Source organism: Homo sapiens, chromosome 22 (assembly GCF_000001405.40).
Source record: "Homo sapiens chromosome 22, GRCh38.p14 Primary Assembly".
Taxonomy (NCBI): domain Eukaryota; kingdom Metazoa; phylum Chordata; class Mammalia; order Primates; family Hominidae; genus Homo; species Homo sapiens.
This window is the reverse complement of record NC_000022.11, coordinates 43,558,544-43,582,514: the sequence shown is the minus strand read 5'-3', so window position 1 is coordinate 43,582,514 and position 23,971 is coordinate 43,558,544. Positions and strand designations below refer to the sequence as shown.

The 23,971-nt window shown below is 46.9% G+C and overlaps 1 protein-coding gene and 1 long non-coding RNA gene across 20 annotated transcripts in view, besides 1 other annotated feature; one reads left to right on the top strand and one right to left on the bottom strand.

Moving 5' to 3' along the window:
• Window positions 1-23,971, top strand: part of EFCAB6 (EF-hand calcium binding domain 6) — a 283,528-nt gene that overhangs the window by 229,791 nt on the left and 29,766 nt on the right. For all 19 annotated transcript variants that reach the window (XR_007067980.1, XM_047441462.1, XM_011530319.4 and 16 more), the window contains 2 exons: window positions 1,856-2,051; window positions 6,027-6,218. Coding sequence is in view for 18 of the 19 variants with exons in the window: in XM_047441462.1 (XP_047297418.1) it covers window positions 1,856-2,051; window positions 6,027-6,218 (388 nt within the window). In the remaining variant the exon portion in view is untranslated. The remainder of the gene's footprint in view (window positions 1-1,855; window positions 2,052-6,026; window positions 6,219-23,971) is intronic.
• On the bottom strand, window positions 10,916-12,118 carry LOC101927474 (uncharacterized). The gene is made up of 3 exons (XR_007068123.1): window positions 12,058-12,118; window positions 11,137-11,273; window positions 10,916-11,004 (listed from the first exon to the last, which is right to left on the bottom strand). It is a non-coding gene; the product is annotated as an uncharacterized LOC101927474 (long non-coding RNA).
• Window positions 11,126-11,626: an enhancer, noted in NCBI's record as "H3K4me1 hESC enhancer chr22:43966769-43967269 (GRCh37/hg19 assembly coordinates)". NCBI's record gives its function as "activates a minimal SCP1, AML or CMV promoter by ChIP-STARR-seq in naive H9 embryonic stem cells {active_cell/tissue: H9 hESC(naive)}" and the evidence as "EXISTENCE:reporter gene assay evidence [ECO:0000049][PMID:30033119]".

Below are 23,971 nucleotides of genomic sequence, written 5' to 3'. Positions count from 1 at the left end.
ATTGAACTGAAACTTTTTAAATTCTTCTTCACACACATTGATGGCTTGTCTGAGCATAGACTCTTAGGAAGAAAATAATTCCCTTAAAAGTTTGAAGACATTGATCCATTGTGTTTGAGCTATGAGAAGTCCAACGCCTGTGTGTATGTGTGTGTGTGTGTGTGTGTGTGTGTATGTGTATAGAAAGGAAGGACCATTTCATCCTCAAATGCCTATATGTTTTTTTCTTCCTTAAACAGGATCTCTTTTCACTGAATCTATTTCCAGCTGAACAAGAATTCATATGCATTCAATGAATAAATCATGGAAAAATAGCAGATAAATTAACTAAATGATTATAAGAGATTCTTGTTAAAACATAGTTAGGCTTGATACTTTTATAAACAACAACAAAAGGACTGGGATTTCTGAAGCCCACCTTTCAATGCGGGTGATCAACTTTTTTATGTATTGAAACCTTAATAAGGATCCATTGCACAGTTGCTTGTTTCTTCTCAAAGACCTCTTGATGATAAACATCTCTGTTACTTGTAATTATATGTAGATTATTCTTTTCTAGATCCAAAATAGACTTTTCTAAATACTACTGAGATTAGCATATGCATATGATTTTATTACTACATTTTAATACCACGTTGGCAATTTATCCCGCTGATGAAATAGTGTTGATTGTCCTTTTCCTTGGTGTCTCCATCATGCAAGCCGACCCGACGCAGAGCCTGTGCAAGGCGGCTCTGCAGCTGTGGGTTGGAAAAGCTCAGCTCTTGGCTCATCTTCTTTAGAAGCAGATATCTGAGTCACTGGAAACTTCTGTCTCCACCTTACCGGCATTCCAAGCTCTTCTACGTTGACACTTGAGCCCAATGCTGCTGAGAGAAAGTTTAGGTGTTTAAGTGCCAGCAATTCCCCAGGAATTTAAGTTGTAGAAATGTGAACTTTGAATGCAATTAAACTTTATTTTAATTATTTTGCATCTTTAATAGATATGCTATATGTTCCGTGAGACTTTTGGATTTTACCTCACAATTTAGTCTTCCAGAACTTAGGTAATTTCTTCTGTGTCAGAGTCAAGGAGATGAATGAGCCTCTGCTTCCATAGGGATGTCCTTGCTGAGCCATCGATGCAGGTGGATTTTTATTTGAGAAAATCCTCAGCTAGATAGGTTTTGTAAAATATCTTTTGAGTGCTTTCAGCTTGACAACTTCATTTCAACCACTCCTGAAAGAGAATTTAATGTATTTCTTACTCAGTTCCTCTTCTTCTTTTCACTGTCTTTGACATGTTTCCTCTCTTTTAAATCCCACTGCAATTTCTAAGTCCAGGCCCTTCTTGGTTAAGGCCTCCATGACCCCAGGAGCCCCCCATCCAGACTGCTGCTCTCCCACCACTGCCACCACCCCACAGTCTCACTTCCACACTGTCTTTGAGCCGCTGTCAGATTTATCTTCCCATGATGCTGCTATGCAAATGTCACATCCCTGCCAACATACTTTCACGTGCCCCCGTCATAGGGCCAGATTCTCAGCAGACACCTCCCTTACCATCTTCTGCAAAGCCACGAACCCTGATATCCAGCCTTCAAGCCTCAGGTCTTCAGGTCGGGCAGCTGTGGCCCTCCGGCCGTCAGTGAACTGCACTCTCACCTCTCATCACCCTGTGTCCTCTTATTGCAGGATGTGTGTGTCTACCTGAGAGCAGAGCTAACTGCCATGTCTGCACGTACAGCGAAGGGAATGGTGTCTTAAAATTATTCATTTTCCCCACATTGCCCAATGTGCTCAGCAACTGTTGAATGAATAAGCAGTAGGGTGGCTTTTTAAAATGAATATGTTCTTTTCTTCCTTTTGGGACAAGTTGGGGAGTCAGCCGGCATGATAATGCTATCAATTACCTCGACTTCCTGAGAGCAGTGGAGAACAGCAAGTCAACAGGAGCTCAGCCCAAGGAAAAAGAAGAGAGCATGCCAATCAATTTTGCAACGCTGAATCCACAGGAGGCTGTGAGGAAGATCCAGGAAGTAGTTGAGTCCTCCCAGCTGGCTTTGTCCACGGTATGACAGGCTGAAAGTGCTTTACTGTGAAAACTCATCTTGATTCATGAAAACACCTCTCAGCCCCACCCTGAAACCCCTCCCACCTCTGTTCATTCTCCTTGGGGTGTCTAGTTAACCATGAGCAGAGTTTTTATGTGGGTAGTTGTGTATCCACTCTTCCACCCCAGCATGTGCTCTCTGAGGTGGGAGTGCTCAGCATTTAGAAATGCTGAGTCTGGGGTGAGGACATGGGGCTCTGGGCAAAAAAGGCAGAAAACAGAGGCCCTTGGGCAAGAGTGGGCTCAGCGCATCCTGGGAGCTCTCAACGCAGCCAGGCACTGGGTCCACAGAGATGAAGGACTCAAGGTGGCCTTGAAGAGGTTGAACTGAGCCAGGTTGTGGCACAGAGACTTCATTGTGAAGTCCTCCAGGAGCAAGGGGAGTCACCTGAGTAGGTTGACATTCTACAGCTTCCATCTGCGTGGTGCTTTAGACGGTGTACGGAATGATGCCTATGTGTATGGAATGATGCTTGCATGTAGGCAATGATGCCTGCGTGTAGGGAATGATGCCTGCGTGTACGGAATGATGCCTGCATGTAGGGAATGATGCCTGAGTGTAGGGAATAATGCCTGCATATAGAGAATGATGCCTGCGTGTAGGGAATGATGCCTGCGTGTGTGGAATGATGCTTGCCTGTAGGGAATGATGCCTGCGTGTACGGAATGATGCCTGTGTGTAGGGAATGATGCCTGCATGTATGGAATGATGCCTATGTGTATGGAATGATGCTTGTATGTAAGCAATGATGCCTACGTGTACGGAATGATGCCTATATGTATGGAATGATGCTTGCATGTAGGGAATGATGCCTGCATGCAGGGAATGATGCCTGCGTGTAGGGAATGATGCCTGCGTGTAGGGAATGATGCCTGCGTGTACGGAATGATGCCTATGTGTATGGAATGATGCTTGCAGGTAAGCAATGATGCCTACATGTACAGAATGATGCCTATATGTATGGAATGATGCTTGCATGTAGGGAATGATGCCTGCATGTACAGAATGATGCCTGCATGCAGGGAATGATGCCTGCGTGTAGGGAATGATGCCTATGTGTAGGGAATGATACCTGCGTGTAGGGAATGATACCTGCGTGTAGAGAATGATGCCTATCTGTAGGAAATAATGCCTGCGTATAGGGAATAATGCCTGCATGTAGGGAATGATGCCTGCATGTAGGGTATGATGCCTGCATGTAGGGAATGATGCCTGCATGTACGGAATGATGCCTATGTGTATGGAATGATGCTTGCATGTAAGCAATGATGCCTACGTGTACAGAATGATGCCTATACTTATGGAATGATGCTTGCATGTAGACAATGATGCCTGCGTGTAGGGAATGAGGCCTGCATGTACGGAATGATGCCTGCGTGTAGGGAATGATGCCTGCATGTAGGGTATGATGCCTGCGTGTACGGAATGATGCCTGCGTGTACGGAATGATGCCTATGTGTATGGAATGATGCTTGCATGTAAGCAATGATGCCTACGTGTACGGAATGATGCCTATACGTATGGAATGATGCTTGCATGTAGACAATGATGCCTGCGTGTAGGGAATGATGCCTGCATGTACGGAATGATGCCTGCGTGTAGGGAATGATGCCTGCATGTAGGGAATGATGCCTGCGTGTAGGGTATGATGCCTGCTTGTAGGGAATAATGCCTGTGTGTAGGGAATGATGCCTGTGTGTATGGAATGATGCCTGCATGTACAGAATAATGCCTGCACGTAGGGAATGATGACCGCGTGTAGGGTATGATGCCTACATGTATGGAATGATGCTTGTGTGTGTGGAGTACTGATGCTGTGGACTGTGCTGGTGTCCTTGGATATTGTGCTTGGAACCAGCCTCCTGGTGAGGTGGTGCTCCCAGGTGAGCTTCTGTGTGTCAGCGTCAAGAAGGGAAGATGCTTTCTGCAGAGGGCAGGCATCGAAGAGAACAAGGCAGCGTCGGAATCATCCTGTGGGAAGCCGGCACCCAGAGCCCAAACAGCCACAGCAACCCAGACTGAAAGATCCACTCAACACCTCTCAATCCCCACAGTGAACATCCCTTCTAACGTCACAGAGTCCTGGCTCCACACACTCTAGAGGGCTTCCCAGGGTGCTGGGGGGCCACAAGCCCTAATGAGAGTTCATGAGTCTTTTTCTCTTTGATCATAACCTTGCAAGGTGGGGCTCCTGATTCCACTCTACAGGAGGGGAAACTGAGGCTCAGCGTGAATAAACCTGCCCAGGGTCACACAGGGACTATGGAGCAGAGCCCAGAACCTGAGGAGGAAGGGGAAATGGACTTGTCGCAGCCCTTCTTTTCCAAATCCAGGTGGTTTGAAGAATTGAAGTCCTGAAGATCTTTACTAGAGATGTGATGTCTACTGCCCATGACTTCTTCTGAGGATCGACCTTAGTTAGTGTCATGACTTTTGAAGAAATCAAGGCTAGTGACCCTTTTAGGGTATCAGACTCTTGGAGGTGGGAATCACTCACTCTCCACTCCTGAGATCTATTTTAAACTTTTTTTTTTTTTTTTGTAAATCACATCCCAATTTCCTTGGTGTAGGGAAGCAAGGTGGGCTCCGGAGTCCCGGTGCGGTGTGAGGGATTAAATGTGGGGAGGGAAGGAGTGAGGAGGGGCAGCCCAGCCAGCTGAGCTTTGCAGGAGGCTCCTCTTCACACCTGAGCCTGCCGCTGCCATTGCCCCTGCGGCACAGTTGTCTGTGTTCATTCTTATGATCGTTCTCCTTAACATTTGAGATCCCCACGGGCCAGGTACCTGGATGGGGGCATTTTCCAGCAAACTTAGGAAAACTTACACCTGCCCTCTGAGTTAAGTCCATCTTTACAGTAAAGAAGCTAAAGTTTAGAGAGGTTCAGGACTTATGGTGGGCAGCAGAGCCCAGGTTCCCAGAACAACTCCTGGCTAGGGGATTTCCCACTGTACACAGCTACCTCATGTTACCATGAACTACATGAAAATGTGAAGCTATCTGATGTTTTAAGGTTAATTTGATTACACATATGCCATCACCCTGTTGGGCCAATGGGGCGTGCCTAATTAGCCCCGAATGAGAATTAACTACAAGGGTGTGGGGTTTGCAGGCATGCTAAATTCTTCCTTTAAAAAAGATCTTAATCTACCCCTGGATGCAGATTTCCTGGTGTAATAAAAATGAATGATTTTATTTCGACAGATGGAAAAAAATGTGCTTTCTTTTTATAGCACATTTTTGCACTTTTTCAGTTTAACTACTCTACTGTAGGATTCACAACGTGTGCCCCCGCTGCTCCAGTGCAGACCCAGGGCAGCTTCTCATGATGCAAGGCCACTCGGGCTCTGGCCGAGACTCAGGAAAGGACAGCAACCTCAGCACACAAGCCTGGTTGTGAAGGACAGGGGTGGGGTCAGGGTGGTCCCCTGATCCCTCCTCCCAGCTGCTCCCAAAGTCAGACTCCTGTCTTGAGACACCAGCCCTGATGTGATGCGGTGGGGTCTCTCCTGAGCCTCCTGTTACAACTAATTAATACTTAAAGGAAGTAGAATGTAAGGGTCAAGAGAGCTTGAGCAAGTTACTCTCTGCTCTGCTCTGTAAAACAGGGATCCTGGGAGCAGGGGCGAGGCTTCCATCAGGAAGGTTACGGGTGCTTGGGGCCAGGATTCCTCTTTATTCTCCTTCCTCCTCACATCCAAATAGGAGCAAGTAAGGCAAATTTCCTCTAGAACTCATAAGCTCCCATACTGCGTTCATATCATACTTGTCTCAGTCCTTCAATAATGGTGCATTTATTTAGTAATTTAGAATTTACAAGGTACTTTTATACACTAGGCTTCATTTGCATTCAGCAGAAACAGTACTTAAGGAAAGTGTTTTAGAAGTATTCATTTGACAGGATTTGCCATCTTTTTTTCTTTTCTTTCTTTTTAGGCATTTTCTGCATTGGATAAAGAGGATACAGGATTTGTAAAGGCTACAGAATTCGGACAAGTTCTTAAGGATTTCTGTTACAAACTAACGGACAATCAGTATCATTATTTTTTGAGGAAACTAAGAATTCATCTAACCCCCTATATAAATTGGAAATATTTTCTCCAGAACTTTAGCTGTTTCCTTGAGGAGGTAAGAATGTCTGCAGCACATAAGCATCTCTTTGAAAATGAGCTAAAATTAGTTTTTACAAAATGGATAATTGATTAGAACCATATCAGATAAATTGGCAATCACCTCATGTAATTAGCTCATTCTAAATGAAAAACTGGTATAAATTATATACAGAGTATTAGAAGGTGAATATGCATCCTTTACTTTGTTGGAAATTTTTATTTTATTTTATTTTAATTTTCAAAGAGGTTTGGGAGCTTGTTTTCTCTGGTTGATTTAGCATTCTAAGGAGTCTTAGATCCCAGAAGATGATCTGGGAAATGAGATTACTAAAGCAAACAGCATGAACATTTTTAAGGTTTCAGGTTAATAATAACAGCAGCAAACACTATAGCATGTCTTCTATGTACCTGCCACTATTTCTAGTCCTTTGTATATATATTAACATGTGTAATCATGTTGAGGTCACTATGAGATACAAGCTGTTACTATCCCCAGTTGAGAGATGAGGCCTTGGCACAGAGACATTAAGTATTATCCACAGTCACCCAGCTAGTGAGTAATGGGGCTGGTTTGTAAGCCTGACTCCAGGTTCCTAAACACTGTGGTTTTTGTGATTTTTTTTTTCATCTTTGCCATTTAGATGGATGTTTCTAAACAAAATACACTATTGTGTTGCATGCCTTTAAGCTTTATGTAAGTGATATTATATTGAATGTTGTATCTGCACTTATTTTTTCTTATAGTAATGCATTTTAGATTTATCCATGTTAATATGTTGGCTTTAGTTGATGCACTTAAGCTGCTATAAAAAGTCGGTGGTTCATGCCTGTAATCCCAGCACTTTGGGAGGCCGAGGTGGGCAGATCACCTGAGGTCAGGAGTTTGAAACCAGCCTGGCCCACATGATGAAACCCCATCTCCACTGAAAATACAAAAAAAAAAAAAAAAAAAAACATAGCCGGATGTGGTGGCTGGTGCCTGTAATCCCAGCTACTCAGGAGGCTGAGGCTGGAGAATCACCTGAACCCAGGAGGCGGAGGTTGCAGTGAGCCGAGATTGCACCACTACACTCCAGCCTGGGTGACAGAGCAAGACTCTGTCTCAAAACAAACAAACAAACAACAACAACAACAACAAAAACAGTCTATTAACTGAATATATGATTGTGAATAACATGCTGCCATTCGGTCGTCACCCTCCTGTTAATGAACATGCAGGTTGTTCTCAGTTTCCTTCATTACAAGCAAAGCACCAGTCACCCTTCTGTGCTTGTCTCCTTGTGTGCACACACTGGAGCTACTCTGCATGGAATTGCTGATGGGAGGGCGGGTCCATGTTCAGCTTCCCAGAAACGGCCAGCATTCTCCTAAGTGGTTGTACAATGTACAGCCCCACCAGTGGTACAGGAGAGTTCCTGACACTCCACATCCCTGCTGTCCCTTGGTATTGTTAAACATTTTAACTTCTACCATGTGATCCTTAGTAAGGTCAGACACTTTCATGGGTTGTCAACTATTCAGGTCTCGTTGTCTACAAATGACCTGAAAGGCTTTAAGCCCTTGGTTGTCATGTGCGTCGCAAATACCTTCTGCTGGTCCATGGCTTGTCTTTGCTCTTGTTTTATAGTGACCCTTGCTATTTTTATGATTATGGTTTTTTTTTTTTTGTCATTTTAAAAGGAATACATATTCATGGGAGACATTGGGGACAATGCAAAAAATATACGTAAAAAAGGATAGCAGTAATCTAGACCCCACGATGATGGGGATGATGACAAGAACAACCTTGGCCACCATTTGGTGAGCACCTACTAAGCTCTGGGCCCTTCACCTGCGATTTCTCATCTCACTGTCATGCCTGTTGGGGAAGGCGGAGTAGACAGGCTCCCAGAAGTCATGTAGCCACCTGAGCTCAGCAAGGAGTGGCAAGCCGGAGGGTTCGGCTTCAGAGCTGGTGTTCTTTCTATGCACTACCCTGCCTTAAAGAAGTTTTTTTTTTTCTAACGCATTTTTTTACATGGTGGAGATGACAGTGTGTATATATTCATGTATCTTGCTTTTTTTCACTTAACGTTAAATTGTACCCTGTCACTTAAAGATTTCCCAAACATCAGCCAAAAGGTCTATATAACATTGCACCCACTCCCTTATTTTTAAGCATTTAGGATTTTTTTTTTCCAGCTTTTGCCTCTGTAATTTACAGTGAGCACTTTGCATGTAAATCTCTATCTACATTTTGGGTTCATTTCTTAGGAAAGATCCAAGAAATAAAATAACTGGAGTCAAGGGATAGGAATCGTTTTATTGATCTTAAAAGCAGCCCCTTATATATATTTTAAATAATTCTGTCCTATTGGGTTGGACTGTATGAAATTACCATTTTTAAAGACATAAATGATTGAATATTGACAATTTCATATGATTTAAGCTGACATTCGTAGAAGTTGTTTATGTCCATTATATACTGTTTGGAATATGCTGATACATTTGAAGAAAATAATTACAATCACCCCTTGGGACAACTAGTATTAATACTTTGGCATGTTTGTGCCCAGTCCTTTTTTTTTTTTTTTTTTTTTTGTTGAGACAGACTCACTCTTGTTGCCCAGGCTGGAGTGCAATGGCACAATCTTGGCTTACCACAACCTCCACCTCCTGGGTTCAAGCGATTCTCCTGCCTCAGCCGCCCGAGTAGCTGGGATTACAGGTGTGCACCACCATGCCGGGCTAATTTTTGTATATTTAGTAGAGATGGGGTTTCTCCATGTTGGTCGGGCTAGTCTCAAACTCCTACCTCAGGTGATCCACCAGCCTCGGCCTCCCAAAGTGCTGGGATTACAGCATAAGCCACCGTGCCCAGCCCCTTTTTATTATATGAATGTCCTCTAGGAGTGGGGCTGAGGACAGACCATGTATACTGCTGAGTTTGGGGGTTGTGTTCTGAACTCTTGCAAGTCTTTTTTTTTAACAAACATTTTTCATTTGTATCAAAGTGTAACATATGCCCATATAGAAATGAAATTGAATTGTTGCAAAAGATTTAAAAACAGAGATCACTTGACTCACCCATTTAACCTCCAGTCCTGCTCCCCAAGAACAATCACTTTTATTTTGTTTTTTTGCTGTTTCTTCAGCTGCATATATTCCTGTCTCTCAATAATATTCTTACCCTGCCATTTCCTAAATGATCAGTCTTAGGCGTTATTCCCCGATGTGCTGATTTGATAGATGAGGGATCCCACTCTCCTCTTCCAGCTCCGCTGGCCTCACCTCCGGGGTCCCCTGGCCTGTTCTCTCCTGCCTTTTCGCCTCCTGTGGTAGCACTGGCATTCTCTGGGGTCTTCATTTTCCTCTAAAGCATGGATTCCATCTAGCATGTGCCATTCCATCGTGTGGGTTCATTCACTCTCTCATGACACGTGTTTCCTATGGCCCATGTGTACCAGGCGCTGAGCTGGGTGCCAGGTTTAGCAGCAAAGTAAACAAATGCAGTCCCTGCCTCCAGAAGCCCCCATTCTAGCGAGGGGGACAGAGCAGGAGTGAGTGACTCCGTCACATGTCAGGTTCCAGCAGCAGCTGGGAGAAAAATGGAGCAGAGCAGAAGGGAGGGCCTGTCGAGGGGTGACATCCGAGCGACGAGGAGGGGAGGGAGTGAGCAGTGACATCGGGCAAGGGACTGGCCGGCACTGCTAGTGCGATGGCATCCACAGGAAGGGGCCAACTGGTTTGGGGGCAGATGAAGGAGAGGTCTAAGGAGATGGGGCCAGGGAGCGAAGGAGCCAGGCGGCCGTAGGCTTGGGGTCCTTGTAAAGACTTTGGCTTTGACTCTGAGTGACATGGGGACTGTCTTAGGCTGCTCAGGAGCTATAGCAAGATACCCCTAAAGGACCTGCAAGTGGAGAAGACCGGGCTTGAAGCTCCATGTCTGCTGTCCCCCCTCAGCGAGGCCTGAGTGTCCTCATGCACGAGTCACAAGGAGCCTCTGCTGATCCTGGAATTGCTGGACCAAGGAGAGAACATTCCTAAAGCTTTATGTGCTGTCAGCTTGCCTCCCGCAACATTGGTTAGTTCTGCCCAGTTCGCATCACAAAGAGTTGCCTTCACCTCCAGAAGCACCTGCTCAACATCCTCATGAGAAAATTGCAGCAAGAGTGAAGAGGAGAAATGTGCTTGAGACAGGGACTAACCACGGTGGACTAGGAACCGTGGATGCAGAGGTGGCACTGTCCCTGCAGCACGCATCCCTGCACCGGCCACCTCCTGCCCTGTCCCATCAGTGTGCGATCTGTTTTCTGGGAATTCAATGGGATCAACCCCCTAAATTGGCCTAGGAGGATGCACCTGGCCGAGAAGCTAACACCTGAGCTCAGACAAATCGGAAAAGCATGCATTTACCAGGAGGACGAGTAAATCCTTGAGCAAATGATTTCTGGGCTGGAAGGGCAGCATGAAACTGCAAGGAACATGACATGGCAGGAGGAGGGGGGTGACCGTGGAGCAAGGGGTGACCGCAAGCAGTTCTGGTCGTAGTAAATGACAGAGTAGGTGAGAGTTTCCTTTTGTCCTGTTTATTTGCCATCGGGAGCAGGAGGTGGTGGCAGAGACAGACCACTTGGGTCCTGCAACATTGGCTGCAGAGTTTAGGTCCCTTTGTCTGAATAAAGAAGAATCGCTGAGGACTCCTGAGCGAGCGAGCCAGCCAGCCTCCTCCAGGGCGGCTGCAGGGGAAGGCAGCCGGGGAAGAACCCCAGACTGCATTCATCATTAACTTCTCCAGTTTAACCCCAAGTTGTTGTGTTTTTCTAATAGAAGAGAAAAGAAGTAATGAATAATAGGAATAGTTAATGCATCATCCTTAAGCTCATTAAATATGATACCACCCATCCTTTCCCTCTGGGGGATGCACAGGAGGTAAGTAATTAAAAGGAGATTACCAAAATGTAATTAAGACAGTCGGCAACTCTCCCCGCAAAGCAAGTTCACCGTGAGTAATCCCCAGCCAAAGCAATCCATTCTCAGAGAGAGAAAAACTGGAATTGTAGTTAAGACATTGCCTAAGACCTTGAGTAAACTGAAAGCACACAGAGAGTAAAGATGACAATTTTACACCTACTCATAATCCATTTCTTATATTGGGTATGCCATCAAATCTGTCTTCCAAAACTCCTATTATTCTTAAGCCTCCTCTGCCTGTCACAGCAGCACGTGAAAATGATCTGAGCTCTTCTCACAGCAAGGGCCGCGGGCTTCCTGCCCCTGCTGTGTGGCTTGACCATGAGTCCTCCCCTGTCATTGCTCCTTCCTCATACTGCTTTGTTAAGCACCACTCAAATCAGACAGCGCTTCTTAAAGTGCAGGTCCCAGGCCGCTGCTCTGCAGACCAGCCCGCCCCAGGGCTCCATGGTGGGGGAGTCCAGGGGTCTTGCTGTGCAGAAGGCCTGGGGCTCATCCTCTTGGCACTGTCCTGGGCTTGAGAACCAGCCCAGGAGGCACAGAGGCCTGCGAGCTTCCGGGAAGGGAAGGCGACGTGTGTCTTTTCAGACCGGAGCAAGGAGTTGGTCCCATGTGCCTGGAAGCCATCACATCCCCTTTCAAGATGAGAAGCACTGGCCTAGAAGGCATAAAAGAGGAACAAGGCATCGAAGCAAAAATGCTACCCAGTGGCTTGGTGAAGAAGCCGAACAGGAAAAAAAAAAAAAAGAGAACACCTAAACGGCAGCACACACACCTTCTCATGAGATTCCCACAAACTGGGAAAACATCATCTGGATTTCTCTCCCCAGCAAATACCCGTTCTTCACTTCTAGAAAAACATTTTACATTCAAAGTGCCATGTGCAAAGTGTAGAGTATCACCTTGTTTTTAGAAAATCGTTCCTGTTTAACATTTCCCTTAAATCTTAAAGTGCAATTTCAGTTTCTTCAGTGAGTATAAAAATAACACTCAGTGCAGAAATAGAATTTTTAAAAGACATAGTAGAAACCCATATAAAATCTTTCTACTTTATTACCATGGAAATAATGGAATTTTTTAACAAAACACATCCTTATTCAATACAGAGTAATTATTTTGTCACATTCTAGCAAGCAGAGAGCCAATGAGATCTTTCCTCACTTTGCGTGGAAATATACAATCTCTAAAGTCATTCAGTTATATGTTAAATAACTTGAAGATGTTTTTTGTTCCAAGAGAGAAGTGAAGAATGTAGTTTTCAACCAAAGGGATGGTAAAGTACATCAAAATGTTTGTAATCTTTTATGAACATCATATTTATATTCGCTGCCAACAGTGTTACTTCAATTTATCTTTCTTTTTATTGTAAATATAATGGTGTCTACGTATTTTCAATGAATATGGTAAAGAATGGGGAAGTTTCCTTTTCAGGAAAGGGCTCTAAGATAATTGTAAATAAATTAAGTAAATTATTAAGATATTAGCATTACTGTTATTTACCCTTGCTCTTGATGGCAAGAAAAGCTAAGTCTTCTTGATGTAATTTCAGCGATTTTAACTATTTCCCTTGAATTTCACTCACTCTCTACTTGCCAATGCAAAATTCACTACCTGCCATCCTGTAGGTGGGTGGCACTGTGGCAAGTCTTGAGGGGTAACTCAGGCTGACTTGGACTCTCAGGGGGGCCTTGGAGACAGGCCAGGGTGCAGGGGCTGCTAGGCCCCCTGTGCCACGCTAAGGCAGAAGGAGTATTATCGCAGGCCACCCAGCAGGGCCTACAGGCATCATCACGTGGTGGTTCAGTGGGAACCAGGCAGACTCCATGCATCCACTTCTCCTCCTCAGGCTTTGAGCTTGGTAAGCTTGCTGCCCTCCTGGGGGAAGCCCAGGCACCTTGGCATGGGTGGTGTCTGCTTCCTGTAGAGCATCTGTGACTACACGGGTCCTAGCACTGCCCCAGTATCTGCACTAATATGGATCACCTCCTTAAAGCCAGCTGTAGTGATAAAAGCAACAGAATGAAAGTCACATCATCATGGAAAGTTGGCAAGGAGGTTGCACAGGCTGCTGAGATTCACTCTCACTTAGCGTGCTACAGAGTTATTCTTTTGTTGTTCAAACTTTCTCCCAAGTCCCGATTGGCTGTGGCGACACTGCAGCTCCTTCCATGCATGTGTCCTGGGTCCGGCCTGGCTCTGAAGCCTCCCTTTAGAAAGGAGTATGAGTCCCCCTCCAACCCCGGTTCCCAGTAGCATGGACAGGGTAGGCACTCGGCATGTGCCAGGCAAGCTCTGCCGGAAGTAGCACAGGGCCGGCCGCCAAAGGGAGGGAGGCACAGTTTCTGATGCCTCTTGCAGGAATGTGAGGGGGCCACACCAGGCTTTCCCCACCTGGGCCCTGTGAAGGGTGGTCACATGGGCCCCCTTCCCCACTGGAGAAGCCCCCTTTCAAACACAGCTGTGTCAGGCAGAAGACAAGGCTATCATGAACCTGTTGGTGAAGTTGGAAGAAGCACATCAGACAGAATTTCTCGTAATCGTTTTAATTTGTGTGGTTGAATTTTCTCAAACCTGGGAGTCCCATGTCCCCAAGGGCAGGGATGAGGTCTCATTCTCCCTTGTGCCCCAGCCCTATGCAGCACACCCCATGGCAGGACCTCAGCCAGGCCCCATGGAAATGCATGGTGCGGGGGACACTGCTCACCTCCTCCAGCACCTGCCTTGTGTTAATCACCACTCCGGCATCCTCAGAGCACTCCCGCCTCATTCCCCTGAACCCGGATCAGGATTCTTCTTGATTCCTAGCCTCCACGGGAAGCCCTCTATATATTCAAACTAAATGGACAACGGTGCAACCAGCCCAGGCAGGCTCCCCATTCATTTGGTCCCTCCAGAGCCACGACAACCATTTGTGGATCAATTAAGCATCAGAGTTGAGTCGCACCAGTGATTCTATGAGGTCATGATCCTATCAAGAAGCCAGGTACCAATCCAAGAACGTATTGTCCCAAATAAGTCTTGCAGAGAAAATCCAAAATACAGATGTTACCAGCATCTTAACTGTCATCACACACCCAGGAAGGTAACTTATAGTGTGGCTGCTTATGTTCTGGCTCAGGATGCTGCACTGGACTGGACGAATCTCAACACTCAACACTCAGCAAGTGAGAATGAGAATGTGTGCCTGGCTCTGGGCCAGGCCCTGGGGTTCAGGCTTGTGGTGGGGACAATGAGCCTCATTTGCAGAGGAGGAAACTGGGTGGGCGTCTCAAAACATGAGCTTCTTCAGGAGTGGGGGTTTTGGCTCACTGCTCTGTTGCTCCTGCCTGTGAGTGTGCCTGGCACATCATGGGCCCTGGTCAGTGTTGCTGAGTTGGGATTTTCAGGAGGCTTCTGTGTTCTTGCACATGTGGTAGGTGGTTGGACTTCGGTGAAATCGGAGGAGCATGGCTTCGGAGTCAAACAGTCTCCATTTCCAGCACCGGCTGGCAGGAGCTTGGAACTGAGCCCTACTTACTTTGTCTGTACAGCAGGGAGAGCTGTGGCTGCCTCGCATGGTGATGTGAGGACCAGAGAAGATTCCCTGTTGCCCAGCTCAGTGCCTGGGTAAAGGAGACGCAGGAAGGAAGGCCACTGGTACTCTGGGGTACCAGAGGGGGAAACAGAGAGGTAGAAACATTCTTTCCCAGTCACACCATTAGAAATGCTAGTGCTAGGATTCGAATGCCAGCCAGTTCCAAGGTCCATGCTCCCCGCTCCCTTCCTGAGCAATGAGAACTGTTTGGTGTGTGCCTCCTAGGCTCATTGTTCGGATTAAGCAAGTGAATGTAGAAAGAGCTTTGCCTGGTACCTGACACAGCAAACACCAAACATTTGCATTCCTTATTATTTTTGTATTCTATCCTATTTCGGTGAGTGCATGTTTAATGTTCAGTAATGATGTGATTAAGTGGCATAGAATTTATTTGGGTGGAAGAATTTATTTTAATAGTTTTTATAAATGACTTCACCCATGAATTTATTGAATCATTAAAGGGTGGAAGGGTGGCATAAATGTTTCCCTTTTATTTCTTTGCATTGTATGGCAATTCCATGCTACTGGAGGATTTGTGAATCGGTGTTTGCAAAGGTCTCAGCATAGATCCTTTGTGAACGTCAAGCTGTATGGCTGAGGAGGGCATAGAGAGCTGGGAGGAGGAGGGGGAGGACGAGGAGGATGATGAGGAGGACGAGGAGGATGATGAGGAGGAGGATGACCTAACTCTGAGTGGGGGAAGGATGGGCAGAAATGGCTTTCTGATGAGCTTGCACTGAGTCTGGAAGCTTGAGTTGAGGAGCCAGCCCAGGTGGATACCAGGAGACGGGGCTTCCTGGGAGGAGAGTTAGTGCTTCCAGAGCCCAGGGGTTGGGAGGGCACCACACTTTGGGCATGGCCAGGGCAGGGCAGTGGGGGAGGCCCATGGCAAAGGGTTCTGTCTGGAGAGCCGAGGGGCCGAGCTAGTAAGGTGGTCCACTCCACCCTTGCTTGCCTCCCTGGGTGGGCGTCTCAAAACATGAGCTTTTCCAGGGGTAGGGGTTTTGGCTCACTGCTCTGTCACTCCTGCATGGGAGTGTGCCTGGCACATCATGAGCCCTGGTCAGTGTTGCTGAGTTGGGATTTTCAGGAGGCTTCTGTGTTCTTGCACATGTGGTAGGTGGTTGGACTTGGGTGAAATCGGAGGAGCATGGCTTTGGAGTCAGACAATCTCCATCTCCAGCACCTGCTGGCAGGAGCTTGGAACTGAGCCCCACTTACTTTGTCTATACAGCAGGGAGAGCCACGGCTGCCTCTCAGGGTGATGTGAGGACCAGAGAAGATTCCCTGTTCCCCAGCTCAGTGCCTGGGTAAAGGAGACGCAGGAAGGAAGGCCACTGGTACTCTGGGGTCAGTTTTCAGTAAGCACTGGTTGAATTCACTTGAAGCTTGACTTGACTGATGGCCTTTGCAAAGGAAGTTCTGGAATCTTCGGATTAGCTGTTGTTCATTGCCCAGAAGGAATCCTTGTGTGGTAAGAGATCCCACGCCTGGGCAGCAGTTATGCCACCAGAAAGCCTGGAACTGCGCCTGGAAATCTGGTGAAACTGCCTCACTTGTGCAAACAGCGTGCTGGAGTATCTACTCCCATCAGGCAATAACCTGGGCCTGACCTCCTGATGCACCAGAGGCTCCCCTCAGGCATGTGCTGAGCCCTTCGGAGGCCAGCGTCCGTTTCTTGATCCGGCAGCGAGGTCTGTAGCAGGCAGCTTCCTCAGAGCTTCCACTTTATTTTCATCTGGATTTTTTAATGTTTTATCTTTTTTTTTTTTTTGACAGGCAGTTTTCCTGCTGTTGTTATTTTTAGCATTCATTTATTCACTGTAAATACAAATGAAGATACAGTACAATTAATTTCTTTGCTAATCAAAATATTTGATAAAATGAAGTAATTTTTCAATTCTTAGAAGTAATTACACCATTCTTTAAAAGGAAGTGAGGAATTCTTTACTCAGTGTTTCTAATTAGGAGTTTTTGCTACCTGCTGAGTTCTTATTCTGTGTGAAGTTTCAGGACTTTTTTTTTTTCTCCTGTAAGGAATCATAGAAAAAAACCATATAATTGTCTCTGTAAGTATTCAGAACAAAACTTAGTATATGAATCATACAGTCAGATGAGCTAATTATAAACTTCATAATTACATTAATATGCAGATATATTTCTAGTCTAGCAGCTAGATGGACCTTGCTAACCACTTTGTCACAACCTGTTGTTCTAGGGTGGGTGACCGCCATCTTGGATACTCACCAAGGGCCACAAAGCCCCTTTGCAATATGTCCATTTCGTGGAACACTGATGCCTAAAAAGCCATCTGTGCTCAACAGCTTACTTGTCCTGTCTGTATTCTAAGCTCATCCCTTTTTACTTCTTACTCAATAGAAACCCAGAACTGTAGCAGTCAGCTATCACTATGTAACAAGCAACCATAAACCCTCAGGGCCACGAAACAATAACATCCATTCATTCAGTTTTCACAGCTGTGGGGGCTGATCTAGGCTGGGCTAAGCTCTGCCATCTTCGCTAGGATGACTCTGCTCTTCATCTCTGTCATTCTCCTCCTTGGTCCTGTGTGATGGCCAGAGCCTGTCTTCTAAGGCAATGGTGTAGGTGCAAGAGGGCTTGCCCAATTACGCAAATGCTCCTTCATCCTTCCATCACATTGTAATTACCCACATTCCACTGGCCAAAGCATGACATATGGCGGAATCCAAAGCCAAGGGGCGGGGAAATACTCTCAGCTTCTGTAGTGGGAGCTGCCACAAAGCCCCCCCTGGCAAAGGGCATGCACACAGACAGGGTGAACAGAAGCAGGGGGGCCATAGAGGTGACAGACCCCAAGAAAGCAAACGCACGTGCACTGCTGCCTCTCCAGCTCTGCGGCTTTAGTTGACAAGTCTACCACCCCCTTCTATGAAGTTCTGTCTTCCCGATCATCCATAGAAGTCGTTCAGGATACAATTTGGTGGAAAACTGATTTTAAAGCCAGCCAAGAACAAGGCTGGACATACTGACAGGATATTAGAGGGCTCTTTACTGGGGCCACCTCATAGAGCTGCTGAAACAGGAGGACAATAAAACCGAACGTGAACTAACAACAATTTCAGGTTCTCTTGACCCTTAGGGAGCCTGCCCTCCCCTCTCTAGCCAGTTCTTGCACTGGGCTTAACTCTCACCTCAGGGCTTGCTCCCGCCCCTGGCTTGGGTTGAGTAAGGCAGCTTCTCCCTTAGAGCTTTCCCCGCCACACAGGTGAGTTCCTTGCAGGACAAAAGTTAATTTGCCTTTATCTCAGACGCCAGGGAGGACAGCACCTTCTTTTTTTTTTTTTCTTTTTTTTTCTGAGACATAGTTTTGCTCTGTCACCCAGGCTGGAGTGCAGTGGCACAGTCTTGGCTCACTGCAACCTCCACCTCCCAGGTTGAAGCGATTCTCATGTCTCAGCTTGCCAAGTAGCTGAGATTACAGGTGTGGGCCAGCACACCCTGCTGATTTTTGTATTTTTTGTAGAGATGGGGTTTCGCCATGTTGGCCAGGCTGGTCTCGAACTCCTGACCTCAAGTGATCCACCCGTCTTAGCCTCCCAAAGTGCTGGGATTACAGGTGTGAGCTACCGTGCCTGGCCAACAGCTCCTTCCTAAAGTGCATGGGGGATGTCCTGGAAGATGCCTGTCTTTTCCCGGAATGACTCTGGCAGGGTAGTTCTAACTGGTGTGGTTATCCCCATTTCTCAGATGGAGGACGGAAGCCCAGAGAGGTGAAGTGATTGCCTTAGTGATTTGCAGCTAGAGGATGGTGGCATTGGGCCCTCACCTCAATTGGAGCCTGTGATTGGACCCCCACAGCCCTGCTGCCCAGAGCTCACCGCAGCCGGTCAAGAGACGCAGTTCTGTGGCATGGCCACTGTGTGCCTGGGCTCCTATGACCAAGTCTCAGACCTGGCTTCTGCCTTAGAAGTGCCTCCAGCTCCTTGGCTGGGTGGTTTGAGCTGCAGGCAGTAATGGGCACCAGGATGCACCATCCTCGGATCATTCATGATAGCCTGGTGTTAGCCAGGAACTCAACCCACGTCTGTCTGAGTTCCCAACTCCTGCAGAAATATCTGTAATCACCAGCAGCAGCAGCAGCGCGGCAGGCTCTGGGCCACATGCCTTGAGGGTTGTGTTGGTGAAATCCCAGGCCTGCCGTTGAGGTGGCTGGTTTGTTTTTGGTTTTGTTTTTGTTTTGAGACAGGGTCTTGCTCTGTCGTCAAGGCTGGAGTGCAGTGGCAAGATCAGGCCTCGCCATGGCATCAGCCTCCCAAGCTCAAGTGATCCTCCCACCTCAGCCTCCCAAGTAGCTAAGACCACAGGTGCATGCCTTGCCCAGCTAATTTTTGTATTTTTTGTAGAGATGGGGTTTTGTCATGTTGCCCAGGCTGGTCTCAAGCTCCTGAGCTCAAGCAGTCCTCCCCTCTTGAACTTTCCAAAGAGGTGGCTGTTTTTATTTTCACTTTACCCCAGTGAGGACAGGGAGGCCAATTTAGGGGTGCATCTTACCCAAGGTAACAAGATAGGGGCAGCCTGAGCCCTGGGTTTATGATGGGCTGTCCCCACTCTTCAGGCCCAAGCCCGCCTCTTCCAGCCTAGGCTGGCCCTGGCCGCGTTCCTTCTGCCCTGGCAGGCGGCGCTTGGTTACTGGTGCTGCCTGCTGCTCAGGAGCGCACCCTGTGAGGCGCTGAACAAGGGCAGGTCTGGCCCTGGTGCCGCAGGCCAGGACCTGGGCTGGGAATCCCAGCACTGTGCCTCCCTGAAGGGCTCGTCCCAGATAGCAGCAGGCGGCCGTGCTGTGCCTACCCGGAGAGACCCTGAGCAGAGCCAAGGACAATAATAGAGACAGCAGGCCATGCCCCACTGGGCTACTGCCCTCCCACCTGTGACCTGGGCTGCCTCCCTCCCATCCCCCACCGGGCTGCCTCCCTCCCATCCCCCACCGGGCTGCCTCCCTCCCACCCCGCACCAGGCTGCCTCCCTCCCACCCCTGACCTGGGCTGCCTCCCTCCAACCCCCCACCGGGCTGCCTCCCTCCCACCCCGCACCAGGCTGCCTCCCTCCCACCCCTGACCTGGGCTGCCTCCCTCCCATCCCCCACCGGGCTGCCTCCCTCCCACCCCGCACCAGGCTGCCTCCCTCCCACCCCTGACCTGGGCTGCCTCCCTCCAACCCCCCACCGGGCTGCCTCCCTCCCACCTCTGACTGGGCTGCCTCCCTCCCACCCCTGACCGGGCTGCCTCCCTCCCACCCCCAACCCAGAACTTGTGGCGTTGGGGCAGCCTGTTGGGTGATTCCTATGTCATGGCAGGATTTTAGAACCAGGGGTTTAGATTCTGAAGCTGTGACTTGCTTTTTACTAGCAAGATACATGGATACATTTGAAGCTGAGAAGCACCCCATCAAAGTGGGGTGTGAGTAGCCTCTTTGATGACTGTATACTTCATGTATTGGGACATTATTTCTTTCATGTATTTTGCCAATATTACGGTGTAGTCACAAAGGGGCCAAGAATTTTCCTTCTGGTAGTGGTGGGCTGTCTTTGCCACATCTAGAAGGGCAATTGTTTGCTCAAACAAGGTCCCATGAATATCTTTGAATACTTGAAATAAAACCCCTTGAAAACACGTAAATGGTTCTCTGTTGAGGTCAGACCTAGAGTGCATATGACTGCACTCCATTTTGTTTGTTTGTTTGCTTGTTGAACTTTAAAAGTCACCAGAAGCAGCCAGGAGCTTATCTTTGCCAGATAAGCTGGGGAGTGTGAGGTGTTCGGGCCCAGCACGGACCGGGCCCAGCCGAGCCCCCGCCTTTCCTGCAGCCCTGCTCTTCCTGTTGCAGCTGTGATTTCTGTCCTGAGGGGGCCTTTGATGTAAAGCGCAGTTAATATTGGAACGTGTCATTTGCATCTGAAGATAGTGGTGTCTTTTTTGATTAGGAGAAACATTTCTTCTAGTTATAGAAAAAGCATTATTTTTTCCCCCATTCAGATATAATGATCACGTGAGAAGTGCCAGGGACACAGAAGCGCCAGACCAAGAGCCATCTGTTCCTCTCTGGCGTCTCCAGTCACTCGAGCGAGGCTGGCGGCGGCTGAGCAGCTTTGCTAAAAAGTGAAATGGGAACCAGAATACGGTGCCTAACAGATTCTCAGCCAAAATGCCCTTGATGGAAAACCCAGGCGCTCTCCCACCAGCAACTGGGTGTGTGGGGGCGGGGCGGTGTGGTTCTCTGGGCGGCAGCATCCATGGGGCCTGGGGACCCCAGGTCGGTGGTTCCTCCCTTCTGCTCTGAGGCAATGACAGTGGTGGCTGAGGGGGGCGGGGTTTTCAGTGATCATTTTTCCTTTGTGCCTTTTTGTAGTTTCTAAGTTTTCTTTCTTTCTTTCTTTCTTTTTTTTTTTTTGAGACAGAGTCTCGCTCTGTTGCCCAGGCTGGAGTGCAGTAGCACGATCTCGGCTCACTGCAACCTCTGCCTCCTGGGTTCAAGCAATTCTTCTGCCTCAGCCCCCTGAGTAGCTGGGACTACAGGCTCCCGCCACCACGCCTGGCTAATTTTTGTATTTTTGGTAAAGACGAACTTTCGCTGTATTGGCCAGGCTGGTCTCGAACTCCTGACCTTGTGATCCACCCACCTTGGCCTCCCAAAGTGCTGAGATTACAGGTGTGAGCCACTGCACCCAGCCTGTAGTTTCTAAGTTTTCTATAGTGAACACGCAATACTTCCTTTTGCAAGCAGGAAAAGAGTATTTGCACGGGCGGCCAGCCACCTCCATGCAATGGAGGCTGATAGGTGCCCAGCACCTTCCCCACGCCGCCACGCAGTTGGGCTGCTTCTGCTTCTCCGTGGCAACACCTGTGTCCGTCCCCTGCCTCCCCAAGTGAGGGCGGGGACCTATCACCATGACCTGGACCGTGGCTGCAGCTCTCTGCACGTCTAGGAAAGCATGTGTTTGCAGGCCAGGAGCCTGGGTAGAATCCGGGCGCCACTCTGTTGGTTCTGTGACTTCAGGCATTTCTCGGCCTCCCGGACCTTCACGTCCATGCTTGTTGAGGAGGATAATGTTACCTCCCACGCTGGGTTTTTAATCTCTTTCCACCTGCACTTCCCGTGGCACCCACCTCAGCCATTTCCTCCTCAAGGAGGCCTGCAGTGGCCACCCCAACCAGGGCCATGTCCCAGCCAGTTGCATCTGTGGCATGGTGTTCCCTCCTGAGAGCATGGCTGCCCCTACCCAAGGTTACCTTTACGTTGACCACACTGTTCTCTAACACTTTTATAATGCTATAACAAACAGGTCTTATGATGTAAGGGCTCAGCACAGTAGAGACTTAGTTCCCACTCACTGCCAGAGTAGTTGTACATTGATATATTTGTGTATTTCTGAACCTAGCTATATTACTCTGATTATATCAAATTCATGGCAACTTTAATATCTGGTGAGTCAAAAACTTCATTCCTATCCTTTTCCAAAAATTTCATGGTAATTCTCACATGTTATTTTTTAATATCAATGTTGATATCAATATGTCTAATGATTCTCCCAAATATCCATTGAGATTTTTATTAGAATTTTATTAAGCTTATTTATAACTTGAGAAAGGATTTCTCTTTTGAAAGTGAGTCTTTATATCCAGGAACATAATATGTCTATTTATTCCAGTCTTGCTTCAGTAACTGTAATATAATATGTATATTATTTATACACATTGTTTATACAGGCATTTTTTAAATTTTACTTTCAGTTCTGGGATACATGTACAGAACATGCAGGTTTGTTACATAGGTATACATGTGCCATGGTGGTTTCCTACACTTATCAACCTGCCATCTAGGTTTTAAGCCCCACATGCATTAGGTATTTGTCCTAATGCTTTCCCTCCCCTTGCCCCCCACCCAACAATAGGCCCCAGTGTGTGATGTTCCCCTCCCTGTGTTCATGTGTCCTCATTGTTCAACTCCCACTTATGAGTGAGAACATGTGGTGTCTCCTTTTCTGTTCCTATGTTAGTCTGCTGAGAATTATAGCTTCCAGCTTTATCCATATCCCTGCAAAGGACATGAACTCATTATTTTTTATGGCTGCATAGTATTCCGTGGTGTGTATGTGCCACATTTTCTTTATCCAGTCTATCATTGATGGGCATTTGGGTTGGTTCCAAGTCTTTGCTATTGTAAATAGTGCCACAATAAACATACATGTGTATGTGTCTTTATAGTAGAATCATTTATAATCCTTTGGGTATATACCCAGTAATGGGATTGCTGGGTCAAATGATATTTCTGGTTCTAGATCTTTGAGGAATCACCACACTGTCTTCCACAGTGGTTGAACTAATTTATACTCCCACCATCAGTGTAAAAGCATTCCTATTTCTCCACAGCCTCACCAGCATCTGTTGTTTCCTGACTTCTTAATAATCACCATTCTAACTGGCGTAAGAGGGTATCTTATTGTGGTTTTGGTTTGCATTTCTCTAATGACCAGTGATGATGAGCTTTTTTTCATATGTTTATTGGCCACATAAATGTCTTCTTTTGAGAAGTGTCTGTTCATATCCTTTGCCCACTTTTTGATGGGGTTGTTTTTTTCTTGTAAATTTATTTAAGTTCCTTGTAGATTCTGGATATTAGGCCTTTGTCCGATGGGTAGATTGCAAAAATTTTCTTCCATTCTGTAGGTTGCCTGTTCACTCTGATGATAGTTTATTTTGCTATGCAGAAGCTCTTTACTTTGATTAGATCCCATTCATCAATTTTGGCTTTTGTTGCAATTGCTTTTGGTGTTTTAGTCATGGAGTCTTTGCCCATGTATGTGGCATTTCTTCATACAGGCATGTCTCAGAGACTTTGCAGGTTTGGTTCCAGACCGTAGCAAAGCAAATATCGCAATAAAATGAGTCAATGAATTTTTTGATTTACTGATGCATATAAAAGTTATGTTTACACTATACTGTAGTCTATTAAGTGTGCGATAGCATTATGTCTAAAAAAATTACATAGCTTAATAAAAATACTTTATTACTAAAATATGGTGGTGATCTTCTGAGCCTTCAGCAAGTAATCTTCTTGTAATCTTTTTGCTAGTAGAGGGTCCCACCTCAATGTCGATGGTTGCTGAAGGCTGGGGTGGCACTGCCAATTCCTTAAAATAAGACATTGAAGTTTGCCACATCAATTGACTGTCTCTTTCATGAACGATTTCTCTGTGACATGGA